A 26336-nucleotide genomic window follows, 5' to 3' on the forward strand; every position below is an offset into this window, starting at 1 on the left:
GCGGGGCACCTCCACCACGAACTTCCTCCATTTCCATCCTCGTAACCACCTACGACATCTTTCCATGCCCATTTGGCTGACGACGAGACAAAGGCCACAGAGCTGAAGTTTCTGGCCTCCAGGGTCACCTAGGAGACAACTGTTGATGCCCCATCCTGATTTCCTCCCCTGACCAATATTGGCAGCTCCATCAGAATCATGTTCTTCCCTAGGACCCTTGCGCTTGCTGTTTCCTCTGCCTGAGACTCTGCCCCCAGACACCTGCAGGGCTTCCCGCCTGTGTTAAATGTCGCCTCCTCAAAGAGCCCTCCTCTCACCCTTCTCCCTGCTCTGTTATGCCTATGGCTGTGATCACACCCTGACATGTTGTACATTTGTTTGTTTAATCTGCATCTTTCCCACCGGACTTCAAGTCAGCAGCCCTGTGTGTTTGGCTTACATCTTATCTCCATTCCCTAGGATGATGGCTGGCATGAGTACCAGCAGGTGTTTGTGGATGAGTGACTCTCCTAACTGTGGGTGTGTGTGGGACTAAGGGGACAATGGGGGTCCAGCAGTCCCAGGGGCAGGGAAACTGGGAAACTGGAGGGCCCAGAGGGCAGCCCCCATCAGCTGCTCCCCACTCCTCTGGTTTCCTTGGCTGCCTTGATGTGCCCACCCTTGACTGTGGCCTTGCATCCAACCAGAGTGGGCGTCAGTCCAGCTTTGCTCCCGCCTGCTGTGGAGACAGCCAGCCCCCTTCTCCTTCCTGGGGCCACTGGAGCCCAGCAGACCCCAGAGGGGCCCCCAGCCCGCACCCAGTCTCCCATCTCAGCCCCCTCTCTGCTGTGCGCACACCTCTCCCTCCTCCTACAGCAAATACATTTTGGACTTAAAATAAAAAGCAGATACGGCGGAGGAAGGCGGAGGGAGCTGGGGGAGTCGGGAGAGAGTGGGTGGGGCCCAGCAGCAGCTGCAGCCGCATTTCCCCATGGTGGGTGGGGATGACCAAACTCATTCTGCGCATCAGAAACTGGGTCTCAGAGAGGTTAAGTGACTTGCCCAAGGGACAAGGCCCAGATACAGCCCCAGCGTGATCTACATACATACTGGAGGTCAGGCTCACTTCAGCCCTGAGGGCAAAGCCAGAACCAACAGGATGTTTTAGGGGTTACTGCTCATTCGCTCAATAATTCATGGAAATGACATGCTATGCCCAGCGGCAGGCTGTGGAGGGGGATGGGAGGGAAGTGGTGGGGGTGGTGGAGGGGGCAAGGCCCGCTGGGTAGGTGCAGGGAAGGCTTCAGGTTGGGGATGTGAAGGATGAGTGGGCATTCCAAGCAGCTGGGGAAGGCGGGAAGGGAGTCCAGATAAAGAGGGAGTCCTAAGCCACTCAGTGCTGAGCTGAGATGGGCCTGAGAGGGCTGGGTCTGCCCTGTGCTGTGGGCTCTGGAGGGTGGGTTCAGGCACAGACAGGAGGCAGGGACACTGGCTGCTCCTCATGGGGTCTCCTGACTCTGGGATCCTGAGGGTTAAATTTGCAGCGGATGCAGTTGTCACAATAACCCCTCCTCTGGGAAGCGGGTGCTTCCCCCCCAGGATGTTTCAAGCCCAGACTTCCCCACCCCTCTGTGTCCCTCTGCAGCCCATGGCATTGTGCCCTTTCTGCCTCTTCTGGTGGGAGAAGGCCTAGGCTGGTTGTTGCCTGCTACCTGTGCTGGGATTGGTGGTATGCCTGTGACCCCTCCTGATGGATGTCAGCCTGCTGGGCACCCACAGGCCCTTGCCTCCCCATCCCTGCCTACCTTTAGCCTCACCACTATGCCAAGAGGGAATGGGGCTTGGCCTGTGCCAGGATGAGGAAGCCGAGGCCCCAAGAGGGGAGGGGAGGGAGGAGTGGGATTGGGGAGTCTGGAAGGCCTGGGTCTGCCCCAGTCCTGTGGTCCACATGTGTGGGCAAGTAGCCTGTGCCCCTGAACCTCATGGTCCTCAGCTGCCCAGGAAGCTGGGAAGGTTGCAGGGTTGGGAGGGGAGCTTCTTAAGCTGTGTGTGACGCCCTGGACACATGGTGTGGGGAGCTCTGTCTGCTGAGAGCTGGGCACTGGCAGGGACTCACCCACGAGTGCAAGGGGGGAGGCAGGAGGGCCCATCTGGAGGCTACTGGAATGGTAGTAAGAAACACCATGCCGGGCCCATTGGCTCACGCCTGTAATCCCAACACTTTGGGAGGCCAAGGTGGGCAGATCACCTGAGGTCGGGAGTTCAAGACCAGCCTGAGCAACATGGAGAAACCCTGTCTCTACTAAAAAAAAACAAAAAATACAAAATTGGCCAGGTGTGGTGGCGCATGCCTGTAATCCCAGCTACTCGGGAGGCTGATGCAGGAGAATTGCTTGAACCCGGGAGGCGGAGGTTGCAGTGAGCTGAGATCGTGTCATTGCACTCCAGCCTGGGCAAGAAGAGTGAAACTCCATCTCAAAACAAACAAACAAACAAACAAAAAACAGTCATTCATTTAGTCATGTATTGAGCACCGCCTGTGTGCAAGGCCCTGGGCCGACTGGCCTCTGTCCTTGGGGAGCCGTCGGTCCAGTAGGGGAGTCAACAAATGACAACAAAAAAATAGATAAATAAATGAATAAATGAATGCAACCGTGCCACACAGTGAAAGGTCCCAACGCAGTCGGGGCTGGGAGGTCCTCCCTGGGCAAGTGCCATTTGAGCTAAACCCTGAGGAAGGAGTGACAGCCACCCAGGTGAAGAGGGAGAGAAGGGCATTCTGGGCAAGGAAACAGCATGGCAAAGGCACCGAGGCAGGTGGGGCAGAGCAAGCATGAAGGCCTGGGAACACTGGTGAGCCAGGGAGCAAGAGCCAGAGGGAGGAGGCTGAGAGGGGCTGGGGACTCAGCGGCTCTCTCGGGAGACATTGCAGATTTTATCTCAAGAGCAGTAGGGAGCCACGGAGGGTTTTAGGCAGAAGGTAATATGATCTGGTGTGCATTCATTTTTTTGAGATGGAGTCTTGCTCTGTTGCCCAGGCTGGAGTGCAGTGGTGCGATCTCAGCTCACTGCAACTCTGCCTCCTGGGTTCAAGCCATTCTCGTGCTTCAGCCTCCCAAGTAGCTGGGACTGAAGGTGCGTGCCACCATGCCTGGCTAATTTTTGTATTTTTAGTAGAGACGGGGTTTCACCATGTTGGCCAGGCTGGTCCCGAACTCCTGACCTCAGGTGATCCACCCGCCTCAGCCTCCCAAAGTGCTGGGATTACAGGCGTGAGCCACTGCACCTGGCCTGTTTTTTTTGTTTGTTTAAGGCAAGGTCTCTGTCTGTAGCCCAGGCTGGAGTGCAGTGGCACGATCTCCGCTCACTGCAACATCAACCTCCTGGGCTCAAGTGATCCTCCCACCTCAGCCTCCTGAGTAGCCAGGACTACAGCCACCACCCCTGGCTAATGTTTTTTAAAAAAATTTTGTAGAGACTGAGTTTTGCTCCAACTCCCACCTTGGCCTCCCAAAACGCTGGGACTGCAGGCCTGAGCCATGGCGCCCAACCCAGTGTGTGTTTTGATGTGCTTATTCTGCCCCCTGAGTAAGGGAGTTAGAGGAGGCCAGAGTGGAGCAGGGGAATGCGGGGCACAAACTCCCAGTGGGCCATCTGCAGGACCAGCAGTGTGGCATTTGAGGGGGACTGAGAAGGCTGTGTTTCCTGTGGAGAGGCAGAGCCAGTGCTGGCATTTGCTCATGGAGGGGACGCACAGCTCCGGCAGAGGCGTTAAGGTGGGAATGGCAGAGGAGGGAAGATCCCAGAGGGCCTGAGCTCTGGACCTCCGGCAAGAGGTGCATGCTGGACAGGCAGTGGAGGCTGGGTTGGGGGAGTGAGGCTAAGGCAGCCGCAGAGCGGGGAAGGAGAGGAGCCTGGAGTAGCCAGGGGTGTTGATTAGCATATTCATGATCTTGCCGCCCACATGAATATGCTAATCAACCCTGTGGGGTTTGGGGGTTTTTTGTTTTCCCCTCTGTGGTAGAAGGAGGCCTAAGTTCCCAATACCCTCACCTCTGGGAACAGAGCCCCAAGTATGAGTGCGGTAGGAGGGGCCCCACATCCCCAACATCAGCTCCTCCCTTCTCCTGGCTGCCCAACAGCCCCTGCACACCCTCCGTTTCTCGGGAACTTCTGGCTGTTCCGGAAGTGGAGATGGTGAGGAAGGGGATGTCCTTGGGATGCCCATGCCGCACCCACACTGCAGGCTGGGCCAAGGCTGCCCGGCCCCATGCTGTGGTTCCCCGCACGTGGCTGCTTCTCGGGAGAGACCCGTGCACGGGTCTCCAGTGACTCACCCTCTCCGTGGCACATGTGGCAGGGAGTGGGTCGGCTCAGGCAGGAAACACCAGGGGCTTGCCACAATCGCCAGTCTGTCCCCAGTGCCCCCGACACCTATGTGCCCCCAGCCCAGGTCGGGGGTCTCTGCTGGCCTCCTTGCACCCTGGTCTTTGTGACCAGGGAAATGGCCACATCAGATCAGCGGCATTAGTTGTGTCCCCACCCCTGCCCACCCTCTGGCATGAGTTCCTGGGCGGCAGGGCTGAGTGCATGAGAAGAGGCGGAGACACTGCTGCCCAGACTAGGCCTCCCTCTGGCATCCCTCCGGAGACCCCAGGGGTCCCCCAGTTCAGCCTGGTCCCTCGGGGGGCTGTCGGGAGCCAAAGAGCTTGATGCAGGTGCTGCGATCCAGCGGGTGGAGGGGGAGGCATAATTAGCTGTCACCAGAGGAGTGAGTCAGGCACCACTCGTAGCTTTGAGTCAGCCCCAAAGGGGAAGGGGACACAGCCAAGGTCACATGCCAGCAAGTTGGGCCTGGTCTCCCTGAGCACCTCCCACCCCTCCCCATGCTCCTCCTGGAACAAACTGGGCCTGCTCCAGGCGGTAGCTCTGAGGAGAGCTGGGAGGCATTTCTATCACCCATTGCACAAAGAGGGAAACTGAGGCCAGAGAGGGCACTTGCTTCCTCTGTGCAATCCTCCCTGTCTGCACAGCTCTCTGTTCAGGTCCTTAAACCTTTACCAGGCTGCTCCCCACCTCAGGACCTCGGCCCGGCCATCTCTTCTGCCCAGAACACTTCCCCAGTTCTTATCCATCAAGACTCTCCACCCGAGTGTACTTTTCAGAGGAGCCTTCTGTGACCTTTGTCTTGACCCCTGGTTTTCTCTGTCCCAGGCCCTTGGGACACTTATCATGACTTACAATTGTTTTGCCAGTTTTGTCTCACCCCCTTGCCAAGAGCTCAGCGTCCTCATCTGTCTTGTTGACTGCCCCAACCCCAGCCCCTAGCAAAGTGCCTGGCATGTACCAACGATGGTGATGCCTGGCACTCACTGATATGCACCGTGTGCCAGGCACCATGCAACCACCTCCGAAAGCCTTTGTTCCCGCAGTAACCCTTTGAGAGAGGTGCGGTTTCCATCCTTCCTGGTTTAGAGATGAAGAACGACGTGCAGGGGGCCACAGGCCTTGCTGAAGGGCACGCGGCTCCCGCGGGGAGGAGTTGGTGTCTGATCTCCCAGATCTGCACTTGGGTGGCCCACTGGGCTGCCACCCCCTCAGTCCCTCTGCTCTAGTGCACACAGTAGGTGCTTGGCAAATATTGGGTGGGTGAACAGATGGGAGAACAAGCTTCTCCCAGAGTCACCCAGACATCGGGGGAAGGGCGGGCCTGTCGTCCCAGCTTCCGCTCTCCAGCATTTTCCTAATGCTGCTGGGGCGCCGTCCCCAGCACTCAGTGGGCACCACCACAGCCTCCCGCCTTCCTGCAGGCTGGCAGAGCAGGCTCAGCTCCCCAGGCACACTTCATTCGACTTTCTCCTCATTTCTTTGAGCAGATTGAAGAGTGGGAACAGCAGCAGGCTGTTGGATCGGGGTGTCGGGGACAAGAGGGTTCATTTCCCAGGAACCCCTGGTGGCCGGAGTGGAGCCCTGAAGTCCAGGTAGGAGGCTGTGCACATAGCCCCCCACCACCCTCTTTCTGGGCTGGGGTCTCCCCAGCGAGGGGCCAAAGGTCAGAACTTTAGAGCCAGGGGCCTCCATACATTTGCTGTGTGGTCTTGGGCAAGTCACTCCTTCTCTCTGTGCCTCAGACTCCTCTTTGGCAAAGTGGGGCACAAGATGGCTCCTATCTCTTCATCCCACTGCAAGAACCTGGAAGCCAAGGCACGGCCTCCAGAAGGGATAACGGGAGTGCTTGTTGGCTGAATGGAGTTGGGGGCTGGATAGACAGGGTAGGCCAGTGAGTGTGTCTGGGTAAGGGCCTATCAGGGAAAGGGGAGTCTGTTTGGGGCTGGAGGCCTCAGCCCAGTAGGTTCCCAGCCTTGAAGGCCAGGCCCAGCTCCCACCAAGGCCCCATGACAGCCTCGGTACTACCAATGCTGATGAATGCCTGGGCGCCAGCAGCCACCCCGCTCAGTGGAATCAGCTGTGATTTATGGGATTGGGGCCCGCAGGGAGCAACTGTCTGAGCTCAGAGAAGCCTCAGAAAAATGGGTCAATGCAGGGCAGGGCTGGGATGGAGGTAACCTCTGCCAACTGGAAAGGCTCAGAGACTGGCTCCTCTGCCGCATAGTCCTGGTGGGGAAACTGAGGCCCATGGAGGGGCCTTTGCTGGCAGAGAGGCCCTCTAGTGGGCAGCAGAAATCAAAAGCCAGAACTAGTGTCCAGTACTGGGAGGTACCTTATAGACTTCAGGGTAGCCAGGGAAGGCCTCTCAGCAGAGGCGACATTTGTGCTAGGCCCTGAGGCATGAGAAGGAGCCATGCTGGTAGGAGGTGAGCTGGTGGTGGGAGCAGCAAGGGCCTGAGCTTGGAGGTGGGACAGAGGCTGGCACGTTCAGGAAAGAACAAGGAGGGCAGGGCACCTGAGGGACTGAGTGAGGGGGAGGGGAGAGGGAGAGGATGCTAGAGAGGAGCGGGGACTGCTCAGCCCTGAGGGGCCTTCTGGCCCTCAGCCCCAGTTTGGGCCTTTTCCTAAGTGCCCTGGAAAGCCTCTGAAGTGCCGGCAGCTCACCGGCTCACATTTTACAAAGACCCCTCTGGCCTCTGTGAAAGTGAATTGGAGCAGCATGTGGAAGGCAGGGAGTCTGAGGAGACGGCTGCAGACATCGTGGCAACGAACAGCTGTGGCTTGGACCCAGGGTGGCCAAGAAAGACCCAAGCCTGGGAGCTAGAATTTGTCCCTGGGATTCTAGTTTAAGCCACTCATCTCCTCTGGGTAGTGACCAATTTTAATGTCTCAAAACTGTGATCCCTTGATGCCCCACACCAGGGCCCAGGAACCGTGTTTCACAGAGTCAGTGCCACATCATACCAACTTTATGATGTGCTCAAGGTCACCCAACTTGGAAGGAGCAGAGCTGGGATGGGAAGCTGGGTTTCTTAGTTCCACCGCTTTTTAATGCCTCATTTGCCCCTATTCCCACCGGAGGTGAAAGCTGCACCTCCTCAAGGAAAAAAAATGGATTTTTGAGGCTACCAGGTACCCCCCCCCAACCCCCCGTTGGGTGAATTTGAACTATATCTGTGTCTGCACGCATGCATGCACACACTTCACTCAGCAGGAAATTTGGGACAGGAGCAGCTTGGGTGCATGTCTGGGCCTTCTCCTTGCTGGGAAACCAGGCCAGAGCTGGAGAGGCCCCAGCAGCACTGCTCTGGTGCCACCCTCTCCCCGGTACTCAGATGCCTGCTGGCAAGGGCACTGGTGGGCCCCGAGTGGCTGCTGGCCCGTGGCTACAGCTGACACACATTGTCTCTGAGCTACTTCATGTTTCTGCCTTTGACAGAGAACCCTCCAGCAGAGCAGTGGGATCACTACTGAGGGAGCTGCCTGCCTGCTGTTCCGGCCATGGGGGTGCAGGGGAGTGCTGTTCACCTTGCCAGGGGAGCCTAGCATAGACCATCAGGAAAAAGTCTGTGCCGGGAGGTGGAACTGTGGGTTTTCTGGGTGACTCGTGGTAAATCAGGTCCCTCTCTGGTCCTCACTTCCCCCATCTGAACAGTGGGAGTGTGGTGGGATAGATTCAGTGATTTCAAACCTAACCTGGTCTGAATCTCTGCTCCCGACTCTTCACTAGCTGTGTGACCTTGAGCAGTTAACTTCACCTCTCTGAGTCTCAGAATATTCATCTGTATTCTTATCCCCATTTTCGTACTTACTTTACCCGACTGCTGGGAGTAGAAGCAGGTAAAATTCTTGGAAGACCAGGCACACAGCAAGCACCCAAGCAAAGTCAGCCTCCCGAAATAATAACAAGTCCACAATGTAACAGTGATGGCTGATGCTTACTGGGCCCCTCCATCTACCACATGCCTCATCTGCACTTGGTCTTCACTACAGACCCGTGAGGTCAGTGCCCTTATTCTCCCCAGTTTACATTTGAGGGAACTGAGGCACAAAAGAGGAGCTGGCCTGAGATCACATTGCTGGGGTGTGTAGAGCCCAGCCGACCATGGCTCCCTACCTGTCCCCAGGTACTCATCTTCCTTTCTTAATCCCCAACCTCCAGCTGCTCTTAGAAGTGTTTTCCAGGGGAACCTGGTCTTGGGAGCCTGGTTGGGATTTCAGAACCTTGGACAGCTCCCAGTGGACCTGGGCCTCGGCTGGGCCTAGGGCCCTGGGTGTGAGGTCCTATTCAGTGGGATGAGACCCTCCACCTCATCTTGGCCGTGTGGAGGCAGCAGGACTCTGGATGAGCCAGCAAAGCTAAGGGTCCCCCCTCCTTCCCTAGGCACATCGAGTCCACTGGACCCAGAGGCTCTTTGGGAGGGGAGGAGCCAGGGCCCTACTTCCATGTCTCAGCACCTCCACACCCCTCCTGGGCCTTGCCATCACCATGGAAACAGGTGGAGGATGCACTCCCAAAGACCCCACTTCAGGAACTTGGGCTTGGGAAGCTCAGGACTAAATTTGAAGGGACCTAAAGTCACTACTGCCTCTGTTTTCCCTCCAGCCCATTATACAAGATGGGGAAACTGAGGCCTAGAGAAAGGAAGGCTGGATTCTTGACATGTCCCAGCTGGAAGGTTCCCAGGTATCAGCTGGCCCCACTGTTCCATTATATAGACGAGAGAACTGAGGCAAAGGGACCATCTTCAGAGAGGTGCCCCCTGCAATTGGCTTCTGGAGGAATCGCTTTTTTTCCTTCCTCACAGGTGCCATAATTTGAAGCATGTGTTGTTTTTGTGTTTGGTATCTCTTCTCCTGCTGGTGGACAAACCAAGGTCAGGGCCATTTGTTTGTGGTCATATCCCAGGGTCTGGTACACACTGTGGCAGATAGAGCGTTGGCTCTGGGGCCAGCTGGCCTAAGTTCAAATTCCAGCTTCTGCCAAGGCTGTGAGACTTTGGGCAGGTCACTTCTCTTCTCTCTCAGGCTCTTCATCTGTGAAATGGGAGAATGATGGCATCTGCATCCCAGGCTTGTTTTGAAGATTGACTCAGATGGTATAAGCCTCAAGCCTTGCCTATGGCGAATGTACAGCCAATGTCAGCTGTTACTATAGTCACCTGTTAGTGGGTGCCCAGGACGTATTTGTTGAATGAATGAGCAGAATCCACCCACCTGCCCCACTGTAAGGGCTTTTCTTCAGGACATCAGGGGCTGCCTCCTCCTGATCCTATTACTTTTTTTTTTCTGAGACAGAGTATTGCTCTGTCACCCAGGCTGGAGTGCAGTGGCATAACCATGGCTCCCTGCCGCCTTGACCTCTCAGGCTCAAGTGATCCTCCCACCTCAGCCTCCCAAGTAGCTGGGACTACAGGCACTTACCACCACACCAGGCTAACTTTTTTATTTTTGTAGAGACAGGGTCTTGCTATGTTGCCCTGGCTGTTCTCAAACTCCTGGCCTCAAGCAATCCTCTTGCCTTGGCCTCCCAAAGTGCTGGGACTACAGGTGTGAGCCACCATGCCCACCCTCACATTTTTTTTCATTCCAGCAGACAATGACCTCTCACCTGCCTTGTCAGAGGGCCTTGAAATTTAGCATAAATTGTAATCCCTTGGAGGGACTTGATGCGAATCCCTGGCCTCACCAAGACCACTGGGATCCAGGGCTCTATGGGCAGAGTCCAAGGACTGACGGCTGTGGGTACCCCATGCTTGTCCGTGGCTCTGGCACTATTGTGGCTGCCTCAGGGGGTTCAGTGAAGAACTGTGCCATAGCCATTGTGCTGACCATGTGGGTGACATAGCCCTACTCACTGTTAGCAGGAGCTCTGCCCTCTGGGACAGGCACTGGAAGCCTAAGCAAGATGCTAGGCCCAGAGAGGAACCATCCGGGACACTCTCCTGGAAGCGGTGGGTTTCAGCCAGGCCTGAAAGAGTGGGACGGATGTTGCCCAGCTGAGATTGGCAGATGGCATTGTGGATGGGGGAACAGAGCCCACAAAGTGGTGCAGGCAGGAAAAACAGGTTGTGCCTGGTGTGTGGTGTGGGATGAGCTGGTAGATGATATATTGGGAGAAGTAGGTGGGATTTATCTGGATTGTCAAAGACTTGGAATGCTACATCTTATACAAGCCCCTTGATTTCCTCTCTCTGTTTTCCTTCTGTCACTTGAGTGTTTTAGGACCCATTTTTTTTTAATTCTATGACCCCAATTTCTACTCTTCCCCTCTACTCCAGTTCTTTCCCATCACCTCTCTCCTCTTAAAACTCATGCATACCCTGACCTTTCAATCTGTTTCTTATGAAGTGAATCCATGCTGAAGTCACAGTGGCCAAAAATGAGTTGTCACAGGGCTGGGGAGGGGTTTCTTGTAACAGGGGCCTTCAGTACCTCGGCCCAAGACAGAGACTTCGGTGGTGGAAACTTGGGCAGCACACTGGGGACATTTGAGAGAACATTGACAGGTCTGTCACTCCAGTGTGTGGTGTGGGCATTTCCAGTCTTTTCCTCCTTCCTGAAGCTTTGCCTGTGCTACTCCCTGTGCTGGGCACTGTCCCTGCCCTCAGAGTGCTCTGTCTGGTTGGGGAGATGTGGTGGTGCAGGGCTCCCAGATCTCCTGGGGGCAGAACCTCAAGGAAGGCTGAGGATGGTCCATCATCAGCAACCCCAGCTCCCAGCTGGGGCCTGGGCCAGAGGGTCATTCAGAAGAGTGCTGACCCCCTATGTCTATGGACTTGACTAGAGTCAGGTAATAGGATCAGATTAGAAGCAAGGCTATTGGGGCTTAGAGGGAGGAAAGATGGATTCTTTAGTGTGTGTGGAAGGGGCAGAGAGAGAGGAGTCAGGGGGCAGATGGGGCCAGATCATGGGCCACTGAGCACCAGCATCAACCCAGGCCAAGAGAAGCTTGTTTGTCCATTCATTCAACTAGTATTTGTTGAGCACCCACCATGTGCCAAGCCCTGTGCTGGGGTGCTGTGGAAAATGAAACATGCTCACACAGGCTTGATGGTCAGGGCATGAATTTTGGCACTCTCATGGAAAAGCTGTGGGACTCTGGCTACAAGTGACAGGAGACCTCAAAATAATGTGGCTTACAGGTTGGGCAACATAGCAAGACCCCGTCTCCACAAAAAAATTTTAAAAATTAGCCCAACATGGTGACATGCACCTGTACTCCCAACTACTCAGGAGGCTGAGGCAGGAGGATCACTTGGGCCCAAAAGTTTGAGGCCACAGTGAGCAATGATTGTGCCACTGCATCCTAGATGACAGAACAAGACACTTAAATAATAATAATAACAGCAGTAGCTTAGATAGGATGAAAATTTATTTATCTCCCAAATATGAGATGGGTAGGCAGTTCAGGGCCTAATTGGTGTCTCCACGATCATTCAGAACCTAGACTTCTTCAATAAAGAGTTGTTACTGTGCCTTCCATAGAATGGAGCTTCACCTCATGATTCCTGATGACTGCTCCAGCTCCACCCATCTTATCCACATTCCAGCCATATTGCATGTATGACCTCTAAGCTGATTTTCTTAGAAACTGCACCTATGACTTCTGTTTATATCCTTCTACCAAAAACGTAGTCACATGGCCACACCTATCTGCACAGGAGGGAGGGAAATGTACACTTTATTCTAGATGGCCAAAGGCCCAGCTAAAATCAGGAGTTCAGTTACTGAAGAAGGAAGGAGGAGATATGGGGGGACAATTAGCAATGCCTGCCATGCTGTTTCTTCATCTGACTAGAGGTCATTACTCTTCATTCATTTATCCAACAAATATTTAGTAAGCATTTACTCTGAGCTATGGCCACCTTTTGAGTGCTGTGCCAGCTGTGAACAAAAAAGGCAAAGTCCTTGCTGTAGCAGAGCTTACTTTCTTTTTTTTTTCTTTTTTGAGATGGAGTTTCTCTCTTGTCGCCCATCTCGTTCTAAAGTGGCGCGATCTCGGCTCACTGCAACCTCCGCCTCCCAGGTTCAAGCAATTCTCCCGCCTCAGCCTCCCGAGTAGTTGGGATTACAGGTGTGTGCCACCATGGCCAGCTCATTTTTGTATTTTTAGTAGAGACAAGGTTTCACCATGTTGGCTAGGCTTGTCTTGAACTCCTGACCTTGTGATCCGCCCACTTCGGCCTCCCAAAGTGCTGGGATTACAGGTGTGACCCACTGCTCCCGGCTGAGCTTACTTTCTAGAAGGGGAAACAGACACTAAACAAACAAATAACATCAAGCAGTGAAAAGTATTATGATTTTAAAAATCAGGAATAAAGAGTGATATGGGGCCAGGCGTGGTGGCTTATGCCTGTAATCCCAGAACTTTGGGAGGCCGATGTGGGTGGATCACCTGAGGTCAGGAGTTCAAGACCAGCCTGGCCAATATGGTAAAGCCCCATCTCTACTAAAAGTACAAAAAAATTAGCTGGGTGTGGTGGTGTGCGCCTGTAATCCCAGCTACTTGGGAGACTGAGGGAGGAGAATCACTTGAACCCAGGAGGTGGAGGTTGTAGTGAGCCAAGATTGAGCCACTGCACTCCAGCCTGGGCGTGACAGAACAAGACTCCATCTCAAAAAAAAAAAAAAAAAAAAAAAAAAAAAAAAAGCCGGGTGCAATGGCTCACACCTGTAATCCCAGCACTTTGGGAGGCTGAGGCGGGTGGATCCCGAGGTCAGGAGATTGAGATCATCCTGGCTAACACGGTGAGACCCTGTCTCTACTAAAAATAGAAAAAAATAGCCAGGCGTGGTGGCAGGCGCCTGTAGTCCCAGCTACTCGGGAGGCTGAGCCAGGAGAATGGCATGAACCCGGGAGGCGGAGCTTGCAGTGAGCCGAGATCACGCCACTGCACTCCAACCTGGGTGACAGAGCAAGACTCCATCTCCAAAAAAAAAAAAAAAAGTGAGATGGATGTACTATTTTAGGTGTAGGGAACGTAGCCTGAAGAGGAGGGGATATTTGAGCACAGACCTGAATGAAGTAAGGGACAAGCCATTAATGGAAAGGGGGCTCTGAGAAGAGGGAACAGCAAGTGCAAAGGCCCTGAGGCAGGAGTGCGCCTGGTTTGACAGAGAAACAGGAAGGAGGCCGGAGCTGCTGCAGCAACTTCATGGGTCATCGTGAGGATAAAAAGGGCGATGGATATGACGTGCCCAGCATTCATCCTGGTTGTTCAACAGATAAGGTACCCACATGTCATGATTTGCCCGGGGCAGTTCTGGAGTAATTACTAACAGCTTCCTTTTCAAGCTCATAAGTATCCCTGTTGGGATGATAAAGTATGTGGTCATCACATCAATAAATAATAGCTATTTATTGGGAAACTAAATTCCCCAAGGTATTTCCGGGAAAGCAGCATCGCCGCGTCCCAGGGGATGGGCTGTCCTCCCCTGACTGCCATATACTCCCAACCCCTGCCCCGTGTTTCCGCCCTGAAGGAGCAGCCCCATCAGGCACAGCTGTGCTGATGCCGGCCCCTCATCCCCACAGGCTCCCAAGCAGGTGAGTGCACCAGCATCTCACAGTTCCCACATTTTTAGCCTGTGGGTCTCAAGCGGCTTCTGGTGTCCCTCAGACATGTATCTAGAGGAGGTGCCATGGGGACAGGACGGGGATCTGCACAGGGACCCAGAAGGCTGGCGGGTGCCAAGCCTGGATCGTCCCCCGAGCTCAGCTTGCCCTTAGGCCCCCCAGCCCTTCGGCATCAGTTTCTCTTTGTGTGCTAGAGACAGTTTCCTTGTGGATATAGGGTAGCGGATGAGTAGCCCAGCAGCTGTGGGAGGCGGGAGCAAGTGCCTGGGTGAGAGCAGTCCCTCCTGGGTGGGGCAGTGGGGTCCTGTGACCTTATCCATCCACCTGGCCCTGAGGAGGCCCCTTCTCCATCCCCAGCACCTGCCCCATCCTGACTCCGCTGACACTCAGAATTCAACTTCCTTCAATATCTCAATTTGCAGGTGCTTAATGAAAATGCATGCCTCACTTCCCTGGACTGTGAAATGGGCCTGATAGTGTCCATCTGTCATTTCCCTGGGGTGAATCAGATGATACAATGGCTGACAAGGGCATGCCCTCTGTACCAGGGCAGCAGGTGGGGAAGGGGCCTATCATGACCTCCTTTGTTCCAAAAAGTATCAGCCCAGGCCTCTGCACACAGTAGGTGATCACAAAGTGCTTCTCACAGCAGATGGCAGAGATGTGATGTGTGCTGAGGACTGCTGACCAGTTTGGCTCAGTCTCCCTTTTGCAGATGCTGGAGGGGACTGTCCCTCACTGCCTGACTCCTTCCCCAGTGGGCTGTGGGCCTCTGCTGCCCCAGAGGCTGCTTGTGATTGGGGGAAGGAGGGCTGTCCCTGCCAGCACCACAAGCCCCTCACTCTGGAATCCCAAAGGCCTAGGGAGTCAGGTGCCACGCCGGGGCAGCTGCATTGTTGGTTCAGAGGTATCTGTGGGCCCAGACACATCTAAGCTTTAATCTCAACTCCAGCGTGTGCCGCCTGCCCTCCGGCGAGTGACTTCACCTCTCACAACTTCCAGTTCCTCTTCTGTGAAATGGGGATCGTAAGAGAGGCTGCTCCAGGAGTGGTTGGGGGCCCCCCTGCCTGGCACAGAGGAGGGAGTGGCACCCACTGCTCCCACTCTGTTGGGATTACTGCCATCTTTGTGCCATCTTTTCTGGGAGGGCAAGACCTGGGGTGTCATCCGTACTTATAAATGGCAGACCCCCTACAAGAGGGGTCCCCAACCCTTGGGCCATGACCAGTGCTGGTCCGTGGCCTGTTAGGAACTGGGCTGCACAGCAGGAAGTGAGTGGCGGGCCTGTTAGATCCACCTCCTGTTAGATCAGCGGCGGCATTCGATTCTCATAGGAGCTCGAACCCTATTGTGAACTGCACATGTGAGGGATCTAGGCTGAGCTCTCCTTATGAGAATCTAATATCTGATGATCTGTCAGTGTTGCCCATCACCCCCAGATGGGACCATCTAGTTGCAGGAAAATAAGCTCAGGGCTCCAACTGATTCTGCGTTATGGTGAGTTGTATAATTATTTCATTATATATTACAATGTAATAATAATAGCATAAAGTGCACAATAAATGTAATGCGCTTGAATCATCCGGAAACCAGCCCCCCTCATCTGTGGAAAAACTATTTTCCATGAAACCGGTTCCTGGTGGCGAAAAGGTTGGGGACCACTGCCCTACCAGACAGCAGGGCAGGTGCAAGGTCACAGTCTTTGATTTGTTCGATGGATATTTCCTAAGCAATTACTATGCCCCAGACACTGTGCTGGGGGCTGCAGATGTGTTGGTGGGGAAGAGAAACAATGTCTCCCCACCTGGAGCTCGCTTTAGAAATGGGGGCTCCTCCAAACCCACCTGTGGGTGTGATGTGCTGCCGGCCGGGTGGTGTGAGTGCTAAGAGGCAAAACGACCAGGACAAAGTGCGAGGAAGCCCAGGCAGGTGAGACAGGGTGTCTGGTCTGGGTCCAGGAAGGCCTCTCTGAGGAGGTGACAGCTACAGAAGCTCAGGGGAATGAGGGAGGGAGAGAACCCCGGGTGATCCAGGGAAGAGTGGTCCTGGCAGCGGAAACAGCAAGTGCAAAGGGCCTGGGGTGGAGCAGCTGCAACTGAAGAAGAGGTGGGAGGCCAGAGTTGGGGAAGGAGGGCATGATGGTGAGAGTGGGCGATGGCAGAGACGCACATGGGGACCAGACCTTGTGGGGCCCTGTAAGCCAGGGTGAGGTCTCAGCCTCCACTCAGTGAGATGGGAGCCACTGAGGGCTTTGAGCAGAGACTGTGTCTCAACAGGACTATCTGGCTGCAGTGTGGAGACTGGACTGAAGGGATCATGAGTGCAGGCAGGGAGGCCAAGGGGCCTCTAATTTGGGGGAGAGGTGACCGTGGCTGGGACTCGGTGGCAGAGGTGGGGGTGGGGAGGGCCGGCTGGATTCTAGAGATGTTTTGAAGGGAAGAGAAGCAGGATTTCCTGGAGGACTGAGTGTGGGGCGAGAGAGAGGAGTCCAGGAAGACGGGAAAGTTTTTGTCCCGAGAAAAAGAAACTAGAGCTACCCTCAAGTGGGATGGGGAAAACTACAGGAGGAGCAGGTTCAGGAGAGGAAGGGAAGGCGGTGAAAATTGTCTGATACCTTGTAGACATCCAGGTGGACAGGCCCAGCAGGCAGTGCTGCATGGAGATGTCTAGAGTTTGGGGGAGGCCAGGCTGGATGTGCCAGTGAGCAGGATAGGAGGCTGGAAGGGTCGCCAGGGAGTGAGAGCTGGGGTCTCTTCAGGCAGGGAGGTGTGGGTGACGGGAAGCATGTCTGCTGAACTGAAAGTCTAGATGTTGGTCTGAGTTATAAAGACATAAAGAACGGGACTCTTGCTGTCATAACATCCACAAGAGGGGGGCTACGGAAATGAGTGGCTGCTCAGCAGGCCCAGGTTCTGCGCTGCCCTCACCTCCTCCTGCGTCCACTGTGTGGCCTTGCTAATGCACCTGCCCCCTCTGGACCTTGATTCCTTGACTCTGGTGAATCATCCTTTTGGCATCTCCCATGGAGATGCTGGGGCAGCCTCAGAGACTTCAGGTGGCCTAGAACCATGGAAAATGGGGAGAAGGGGTGGCCAGGGGTACCCGACGAGCTCAGAGCAGAGGGTGGGGAGAAAGCTGGGCCTGCAGAGCGGCTTTCCTGGAGGGGTTTTAGACAGGGCAGCCATGGCTCAGAGAGAGGAAGACCCCCTCCAACCCACACTGCCCTGCGGCAGGTCCTGCTGGGATGACTGAGAGGGGGCGGCTCTGGCAGGAGTCACACGGTGACCTCAGCTGTCCCTGAAAAGTGGCTGAGTCAGCATCTGGGCTGGGCTGGGCTTCAGTGCCCAGGTGCGTCTTCTCCATGGCCAGGCAGGAGAGGGAAGGCCCCTTCTGCTGTCTCCCCAGCCCTGGGGCCTTTTTTCTGCTGCTGATCTTTTTGAGGACTCTTTTTTCTTTTCACCATGAAGGGCAGAAGCATTTCTTGTAAGCACCTGGTTACAAACTCAGCACATGCAGGCCACAGGGGGCCCAGGAGCCGTACAGCTGGGGAAGCTGAGGCCTGGTGCTGGAGAGAGACTTGCCCTGGTCACAAGAGTTGGAACAGAGCTGGGGCTCCAACCTGTGTCCGCCACTTTGCCATTCAGAACTCTGAGGAACTTAGGGGACCAGCGGAGGAAGAGGAGCCGGCAAAGGCAGTGAGAAGTTGCAGCAGCTCTGATGACTGGCTTGGCCCAAGGGGCAGGAGGCCACACCTGCCAGGGGCTTCCTATAGATCCAGTTCTGTACAGAATGTCCTGTGTGCTCCTGTCCACAGCTGTGCCATCATCATGTCCATCTGAGTCAGAGAGGTTGAGCGTCTTACCTAAGGTCACCCAGCAAATGAGGGGCAGAAGTGGGTTTGCATCCAGGTCAGCTCCCTCGAGCGCCTGCTGTTTCCCCAGCTGCCCCTTGACAACTGTGGAGAACAAAACGGGAGGCCAGCAGGGGTCAGGTGGGGATGGCCGTAGGAAGGACAGAGTTCTGTGCCGGCCGGCCTCCCGCCTCAGGCCACATTCTCTCTGGGGGACTTGTCAACTCCACTGGTGTCCCTCTGAACACCCACAGTCCCCATACCTGCAGCTCCACCCCTGGCCTTTCCCTGGGGTTCTCCTGGACCGCATTCCCAATGTCCTGATTGAGCCCAGGAGTTCAAAGCTGCCGTGAGCTGTTATCACCCCACTGCACTCCAGCCTGGGTGACAGAGCCAGACCCCATCTGTAGAAAACAAAACAAACAAAATCAAACAAACAGCTTTATTTGAGTACTGTTTACACTCCATAAAATTCACCTATTTTAAGCATTCTCTTTAATGAGTTTTAATAAATTTTTGCAGTGCACAACAAACACCGCAATTCAAAAGTTCCCTCTGTCCATTTGTAGTTGCTCAGCACATCCGGACTGACTCCTGCATTTGTCCATAGGTCTTCTCTTGCCACTCTGTCCCCTGACTAGTGAGTGGCACTATCTGGAGTTGACCCTCGTGGCTGCACCCAGGATCCCCTCACTGCATCTCCACTAGCCTTTTTAAAAAACAGCTGTATTGCTGGGCACAGTGGCTTGTATCTGTAATCCCTGCTATTCAGGAGGCTGAGGCAGGAGAGTCACTTGAGCCTAAGAGTTTGAGACCAACCTGGACAACATAGTGAGACCCCCCTCATCTCTTAAAAATGAAAAAAGAAAAGAAAAAAATTGGCCAGGCGTGGTGGCGTGTGCCTGTAGTCCCAGCTACTCAGGAGGCTGAGGTGAGAGGACTGATTGAGCCCAGGAGTTCAGAGCTACAGTGAGCTATGATCACCCCACTACACTCCAGCCTGGGTGACAGAGTGAGACCCTGTCTACAGAAAACAAAACAAAACAGATAAAAACAAAACAGATAAAATCAAAACAAGCAACTTTATGGAAGGGCTGTTTACACGCCATAAAATCCAACTATTTTAAGCATTCTCTTTGATGAGTTTTAATAAATTTATGCAATGTGCAGCCAACACCACAATTCAAAAGCTCCCTCTGTCCATTTGTAGTTGGTCCCCACTCCCACCCCTGGCCCCAGGCAACCACTGATCTGCTTTGTCTCTATAGTTTTACCTTTTCTAAAAAGGAAGTAAATGGAGACATATAACATGTAGTCTTCACGTCTAGCTTCATTCACTCAGCATAATGATTTTTTTTCTTGTTCTTTTTTCTTTCTTTCTTTCTTTTTTTTTTTTTTTAAGAGACAGGGTCTCACTCTGTCTTCCAGGCTGGAGTGCAGTGGCACGATCGTGGTTCACTGCAGCCTCGACCTCCCAGGCTCAACGATCCTCTCACCTCAGCCTCCTGAGTAACTCGGACTACAGATGCATCCTACCATGCCCAGCTAATTTTTGTGGTTTTCGTAGAGGCATGGTTTCACCATTTTGCCCAGGCTGGTCTTAAACTCCTAGGCTCAAGCAGTCTTCCTGCCTCAGCCTCCCAAAGTATTGGGATTACAGGCGTCAGCCACTGAGCCCAGCAGCATCATGTTTTTGATGTTCATCTATGTTGTTGCATGTATCAGTGCTTTATTCCTTTTTAGTGCTGAGTAATATTCCATTTTATGGACATTCCACATTTTGCTTATCTGTTTGCTGGTCAATGGGCATTTGAATTATTTCCAGTTTGGGGCTATTATGAATAATGCTGCTATGAACATTCACGTACAAGTCTTCATGGGGACATATGTTTTCATTTCTCCCATATAACCTCCCTTTTCCATCCCACCAGACCTTGATTCCTGTTGAGGAGCCACACAGCTGTAGGGAAACTGACTCCACCCCTCCCGTGAGGATAGAGCTCAGGCCCCAGGGTAAGCCAATGGGCATAGAGCTCATGACCCAGGCTAGGCCAATCAGTGTGTTCCATCCTCTAGGCCTGATGATTGGTTCCTGGATGGGCAAGTGAGATAGGCCAGTCCAATCAGAGTGACTCTTAGGACTGGCGCTGGAACAGCTGCCCTTTTTCATGCCCCTTATAGTATGTTTGTTAAATCTGGAGCAGACACCCTGTGTGCATTAGCAAAGCCAGCTTTAGGATGTAATTGACACATGGAGGAGGACAGGGCTAAGAAGCTTGAACCCTGATTCAACTGTGCCTGAAGTACACCACAAATCCAGACAGTTGCATGGATCAATCAATTCACTTTATCGTTAAAGCCAGCTTGAGATGGTTTCATTGTTTTTGTTTGTTTGTTTGTTTGTTTGTTTGTTTTGAGACGGAGTCTCGCTCTGTCACCCAGGCTGGAGTGCAATGGTGCGATCTTGGCTCACTGCAACCTCCGCCTCCTGGGTTCAAGCAATTCTCCTGCCTCAGCCTCCCGAGTCACTGGGATTACAGGTAGCTGCCACTATGCCCAGCTAATTATTGTATTTTTAGTAGAGACGAGGTTTCACCATGTTGGCCATGCTGGTCTCGAACTCCTGACCTCAAGTGATCCACTGCCTCGGCCTCCCAAAGTGCTGGGATTACAGGGGTGAGCCACCGCGCCTGGCCCGTTGTTGTTTTTGTTTGTATCTCAGGGGTCAGCAAACTATGGCCTATGGGCAGCCTGTTTTTGTAAAAAAAAAAAAAAAAAAGTTAGAACACGCCACTTACTAATGTATTGTCAATGGCTGCTTTGCAGTGCCATATGGCTTGCAAGCCTGAAATATTCACCATCAGCCTTTTAAGAAAAAGTTTCAGGCCCCTGTTATAACCAAAAGCTTAGTATTCAGTATATCCCCCAGTCATCAGGACAGAAATCTGGGAATCATCCCTGAATCCTCCCTCTACCTCATTCCCCACATCAAACCAGCCCCAAATTGGATTGATTTTTTAGTCTACGTGTCTCCTGAATCTGTCTGCTGTCTTCAGGCCCCAGTATCCTAGGTGAACCATTGTCAGCTCTCGCCTGGATCTCGCCACCCACCTCTAGACTACCCCACAAAGCTGCTGGGTGATCTTTCTCCCACACACATTTGACGAAGCCTCCATTGCTCCCAGGGTAAAGGCCAGACTCCCTGGACTGGCACTGCAGGACCCTCGTGAGCGAGCCCCCACCTGCATTTCCAGCCCCGTCTCTCCCCTCTCTCCTCTCGTCCTCCCCCAGAGCACACAGACCAGCACCTGACTTGTGCAGAAGTTCCCAAACATGGCGTGCTCTGTCCCTCTTCCCGCCTTTTGTACCAGCTGTTCCTTCTGCCTCCAATGCCCTTCCCACTTTGCCCACCTAGTGGACACCTGTGTATCCTCTAAGGCCCAGCCAAAGCCTCGCCTCCTTTTTTGTTGTTTCTAAAATCACCCCAACCTGGGTCAGGGCTCCCATAAGCCCTTGGGGCTCAAGAAGTGTTGGTTTGCAATACAATATTTCTGCCTTTTGCTGCAAAGCCACTGTGAGGAATCCAAAGAAGGTTTGAACAAGGCAGGGAGGAAGAGCATGGCTGTGGACTGTCAGAGCTCGGTGTGAACAAGGGGACATAGAAGGACTGGAACTGCTTGAGTTTCCAAGGCCCAAAGACCCCAGGCAGGAGCATCTTTAGGAAGTGCATAGAAATGCCTCCTAAGATGAACAAAATGAACCAACGATGAGGTCGGAGAATGGTTCCGAGAAAAGAAAAGTAGGGCAGGTGAGAGTGGGCCACTGTGGCAGGCCCTGAGAGTGCGGAATAGAAACAAAGGGATTACAGGGAAATGTCATTAAAGTGAAGATTTTCCACAGACTTTGGAAGTCAGCAAGTGGGACGGGAGGAGACCAGATGGCCGGTGAGGGGGCTGCGGATCCCGTCGGAAAGTTTAAGGTTTTACAAGACTAGCCCTTTGGAGGGCTTAGGGAACATCTGACTTCTAGGTTCTCAACTGAAAATAAATTTGGGTACCAGCTGGCTGGGTCCTGAGTGAACCTTCCCAAGAAGCAACTGTGGTGGATTCAGGGGAGCACTGGACAGGGAGTCCGAGCCAGCTCTGCTGTCACTGGCTGTATGGTTCTTGGCTGCCATGTCCCGGGGTTTAGGGCTGTGGCCCATACTCACTGCTAATTCTGGAAGTGAATCCAGGACACAGAAAACCAGAAACCAGTCAAGGCCCGACCTCCCCCATGGGGCCACAGTGAGGCACGCATGAGACAGTGGATATGAAAATGCAAACTGCAGTGCGGTGGCCCCACATCACTGTCCCTCCTCTCACTCCTCCAGCTGAGTCCATCCCCGTCCTCGTGGCTCCCCAGCTGATGCATGAACCTCACTCTTACGCTACTCTGTTGTGGAACATAATGTATGGCACATCTCTTCTCCTGTCAGACCCTGAGTACCTGAGGACAGGGACAAGCATGTTGGGCTCCTGTCCCCAACATGTGTTGCAGTGCCTGGCCCAGAGCAGGGATTCGGCAACTATTTCTTGAAGGACTTTGAATTGTAAAGAAATAGTTAACTTGGCTGGGCGCAGTGGCTCACGCCTATAATCCCAGCACTTTGGGAGACTGAGGTGGGCAGATCACAAGGTCAGGAGATGGAGCACATCCTGGCTAACACGGTGAAACCCTGTCTCTACTAAAAAAATACAAAAAATTAGCCGGGTGTGGTGGTGGACGCCTGTAGTCCCAGCTACTCGGGAGGCTGAGGCAGGAGAATGGCGTGAACCCAGGGGGCGGAGCTTGCAGTGAGCCGAGATGGTGCCACTGCACTCCAGCCTGGGCAACAGAGTGAGACTCCGTCTCAAAAAAAATAAAAAAAAGAAAAAGTTAACTTGAAGGTGCTGGTCAGCCTCAGTTTATAAAAGCAGGAACCAGGTAGATCATGGTAGAAATCTTTCTGACAAATTGACAAAATGTTTTGTGAGTTTTTAAAAAATATGAGCATGCCAGAAATGCTCAAGAAGAAGTGGAACTCAAGCAGTTCCAGTCCTTCCAGTCTGGGATTGAGAATGCTAAAAGCTACCTGGCCCTGAGCTATCCAGTAGGGTAACCATGAGCCACATGTGGCTATTGAACTTCAAATTAAATTTAAAAATCAGTTTTGTATTTTATTTAATTTTTATTATTATTATTTTTTGAGACAGAGTCTCTGTCACCCAGGCTGGAGTGCAGTGGCACGATCTCGGCTCACTGTAACCTCCGTCTCCCAGATTCAAGGAATTCTCGTGCCTCAGCCTCCCAAGTAGCTGGAATTTCAGGCACATGCCACCACCATGCCTGGCTAATTTTTGTATAAAAATCAGTCTTTTAATTGCACTAGTCACATTTCCAATGTGCAGTAGCCACACGTGGCTCACGGCCACCCTATGGGAGAGTGCAGATTAGAGCATTTCCATCATGGCACAAATTCTTTTGGACAGCATTCCTCCATGCCTTGAAAATCCGTGCCCATGTGTTATTTTAAGCCCTGATCCTTCCGCAGGGGCTTCTGAGACTTAGGGAGAGATCTGGGGCTCTGGAATCTGACCCAGAGTTCGAATCCCTGCTCAGCCATTTGCTTGCTGTGTAGCCTGAGGCAAAGGAACTTCCTTCTCCTTTCTGAGGCTCGGTGTCCTCATTTGTGGCCTACACAAAGCTGTGGGTTCAAGGAGAAAGCTAGGTAAAGGGCTTCCCAGTTGGTACTGCGTGCAAGGACCTGCTATGAGGCACATAGCGGTGTTCCTAGAGCTGTGAGAGACTGCACAGGCTGTTCCTATCAGAACATTGCCGGAGGGGACGCCTCCCAGGCCCTTGCAGCTTGGAGCCACTGCCCAAGCTTCTCAAAATGAGGCAAGGCATGCTGGGAGTTCATCGGGCACTGGGGGCTGATCTGGAGCAGTGGCCAGTGGGTGTGACTGGCTTGGAGCAGTTGGTAGGTGAGGTCAAGGCTAGAACTGGTAAGGCTGGGAGGAAGGGCCAGCCCGCTGAATCCTGGGTAGGGGCATGCGTCCTCTCTGCATAAAACTCCATTGTCTACTAGCTGATTAGGGGATCATAATACGAATACAAGGAGTCATAGCAGCTTTATACTCCTTGAACATTTCCTGTCTACCAGACACTGTGCTAAGAGATATACTATGTGTATGCATTAGCTCTGCCCTCACAGCAACCCTTTGTAATAGGTATGTTATTATTCCCATTTTGCAGACAGGGAACACTGAGGCCAGTTGTCCAAGGTCACACAGCTATGAGGCGGTAGAGCTGGTATCTGACCCCAGGCTGTTTAGCTCCACAGAGTCAATGCTGGGATAAAGTCCAGCCCCTGACCCGGTCCTCCAGGCCGTGTGGAGCCAGCCTCAGTTGCCCTTTCCACCTTCATCTCTGTCACTCCTCATCTTCTGGTCAAGTTCCTCAGACATCCCAGGTGTCTCCCTCCAATGTCTGTGCCCTTGTTCACACTCCTGGTCCCCTCCAGCCTCTGCAGACTCCTGTTCACCTGCCACGACCCCGTTCTGGTGTGTGAGCATCCCGAGGCTGGGAATGGGTTTAAGTTGTTTTCATGTCATAAAGTCCTGCACGTGGCTTGGGGCGTCAGGGCCATGGCGAATTGTGGGTGGCGGCTTGGTGGGTGGGTGATGAGTAGCTGGAAGGGTGGGGGGAGTAGATGAAGGGTGAACCAAGGGGCGGGTGGACAGACTGGTGGAAGAGTGGGTGGGTGGCATGTGCTGCAGTGCCCTCAGTGGGGCGGGGCCTGAGCAGAGCATGGGGGGCTGGACATGGGGAGGGATGGCGGCAGGGAGGGGTCTAGGGTGATGCCTACTTTTCTAGCTTGGGGTCTTGAGTGAATCATGGTGTCATCAGGGCAGGGTGGGTTTAGGGGAGAAGGGGATGAGGTCCATTTTGGACATGGGGGTGTGACGGGCCAAGGGTTCAGGAGGCCGCTGGGGAGATGAGCCTCAGGTTCAGAGGTGACCTCGGGCTGCACAGAGAGACTCGGGAGGTCAGTATGGGTGGTGATTCGAGTCGTGGGGGCCAATGGCGTCACCACCTGGGAGCTGGGCATGGGGTGAGAAGGACTCAGGACAGAGGAACAGCCACATCTCAGAGCCAGCAAAGGAGGGGGAAGAATTATAGTCCCCCAGATAGAAAAGCCAGGAGTGTCAGAGCAACAGAAGAGTCTTGCGGAGAGGAGAAACAAGGTGTTGGGGGTGTAAGAAGCCCCCAGGGCATGAGGGAACTCCGTCAGTGCTATTTTAAAAAAACTATTTTTCCATTTCAGTTCAACTTTACAAATATTTATTGAGCTAAAAGGTTCTGTGTAAATCCATTTTGTAAATTAAATTTTTGTGCAACAAATACCATTTTAACTGGGCCTGAGGTGGCAAGGTTTGGGAGACCATTCATTATTCGAGGAACCCTGAGTCGAATTCTTTTGAAAAGCTTTGTTTGGTTTGTTTTTTGTGTCAGCAAGGATTTTGGCTTTTCAGGCTTGCAGAGTGAGGCGTTCATTTGTTCCACATGCGTTTTGAAAAGATCCTTCTGGCTGCTGCAGAGAAGATGGGCCAGGGAGGCAGCCGGGCACCTAGGGAGGAAGCTGGTGCAGTGTCCGAACAAGAGATGGTACTGGCCCGGACGGGGGCGACTCTGGGGGATCAAGGGGAGGGGATTTGAGGGATGTATAGGAGGTTTTTTAAAAAGATAGGACATGGCCTGGCATGGTGGCTCATGCCTGTAATGCCAGCACTTTGGGAGGCTGAGGCAGGTGGAGCACTTGAGGTCAGGAGTTCGAAACCAGCCTGGACAACATGGTGAAACCCCCATCTCTACCAAAAATACAAAAAAATTATTAGCGGAGCGTGGTGGTGCATGTCTGTAGTCCCAGCTACTCGGGAGGCTGAGACAGGAGAATCGCTTGAACCCGGGAGGCGGAGGTTGCAGTGAGCCAAGATTGCGCCACTGCACTCCAGCGTGGATGACACTGCGAGATTCTGTCTCAAAAAAAAAAAAAAAAAAAAAGATAGGACATTGCCAGCCATGGTGGCTCACACCTGTAATCCCAGCACTTTGGGAGACTGAGGCGGGCAGATCACCTGAGGTCAGGAGTTCAAGACCAGCCTGGCCAACGTGATGAAACCCCATCTCTAGAAAAAATACAAAAATTAGCTACTTGGGAGGCTGAGGCACAAGAATTGCTTGAAACTGGGGGGCAGAGGTTGCAGTGAGCCGAGATCACACCACTGCACTCCAGCCTGGGCAACAGAGTGAGACTCTGTCTCAGAAAAAGAAAAAAGAAAAAAAGATAGGACATAGTCTTGGGCTTTACTTCTGGGTGAGTGAAAGAGGAGAAGGAAGAAGAATAGAAGCCTCCTGGCTTCTTGGTCGCCTGAGGGTGACCAGGTTAGATGATACTGGGATGAGGGCATGGTCTCCAGGGAAGGTCACAGACTGGGCCCTGTACACATGGAGTAC

At 53.4% G+C, this 26336-nt stretch overlaps 1 protein-coding gene across 5 annotated transcripts in view, besides 6 other annotated features; it reads left to right on the forward strand.

The window, feature by feature from the left end:
- DLGAP4 (DLG associated protein 4) overlaps positions 1–26336 on the forward strand; it is a 222295-nt gene that overhangs the window by 29778 nt on the left and 166181 nt on the right. The gene's annotated exons all lie outside the window — the stretch shown is intronic.
- Positions 282–1267: an enhancer, noted in NCBI's record as "H3K4me1 hESC enhancer chr20:34964801-34965786 (GRCh37/hg19 assembly coordinates)". NCBI's record gives its function as "activates a minimal SCP1, AML or CMV promoter by ChIP-STARR-seq in naive H9 embryonic stem cells {active_cell/tissue: H9 hESC(naive)}" and the evidence as "EXISTENCE:reporter gene assay evidence [ECO:0000049][PMID:30033119]".
- Positions 2303–2963: an enhancer, noted in NCBI's record as "H3K4me1 hESC enhancer chr20:34966822-34967482 (GRCh37/hg19 assembly coordinates)". NCBI's record gives its function as "activates a minimal SCP1, AML or CMV promoter by ChIP-STARR-seq in naive H9 embryonic stem cells {active_cell/tissue: H9 hESC(naive)}" and the evidence as "EXISTENCE:reporter gene assay evidence [ECO:0000049][PMID:30033119]".
- Positions 4286–4945: an enhancer, noted in NCBI's record as "H3K4me1 hESC enhancer chr20:34968805-34969464 (GRCh37/hg19 assembly coordinates)". NCBI's record gives its function as "activates a minimal SCP1, AML or CMV promoter by ChIP-STARR-seq in naive H9 embryonic stem cells {active_cell/tissue: H9 hESC(naive)}" and the evidence as "EXISTENCE:reporter gene assay evidence [ECO:0000049][PMID:30033119]".
- Positions 5243–6173: an enhancer, noted in NCBI's record as "H3K4me1 hESC enhancer chr20:34969762-34970692 (GRCh37/hg19 assembly coordinates)". NCBI's record gives its function as "activates a minimal SCP1, AML or CMV promoter by ChIP-STARR-seq in naive H9 embryonic stem cells {active_cell/tissue: H9 hESC(naive)}" and the evidence as "EXISTENCE:reporter gene assay evidence [ECO:0000049][PMID:30033119]".
- Positions 13960–14460: an enhancer, noted in NCBI's record as "H3K4me1 hESC enhancer chr20:34978479-34978979 (GRCh37/hg19 assembly coordinates)". NCBI's record gives its function as "activates a minimal SCP1, AML or CMV promoter by ChIP-STARR-seq in naive H9 embryonic stem cells {active_cell/tissue: H9 hESC(naive)}" and the evidence as "EXISTENCE:reporter gene assay evidence [ECO:0000049][PMID:30033119]".
- Positions 15599–16310: an enhancer, noted in NCBI's record as "H3K4me1 hESC enhancer chr20:34980118-34980829 (GRCh37/hg19 assembly coordinates)". NCBI's record gives its function as "activates a minimal SCP1, AML or CMV promoter by ChIP-STARR-seq in primed H9 embryonic stem cells {active_cell/tissue: H9 hESC(primed)}" and the evidence as "EXISTENCE:reporter gene assay evidence [ECO:0000049][PMID:30033119]".

Source organism: Homo sapiens, chromosome 20 (assembly GCF_000001405.40).
Source record: "Homo sapiens chromosome 20, GRCh38.p14 Primary Assembly".
NCBI classification, from domain to species: Eukaryota; Metazoa; Chordata; class Mammalia; order Primates; family Hominidae; genus Homo; species Homo sapiens.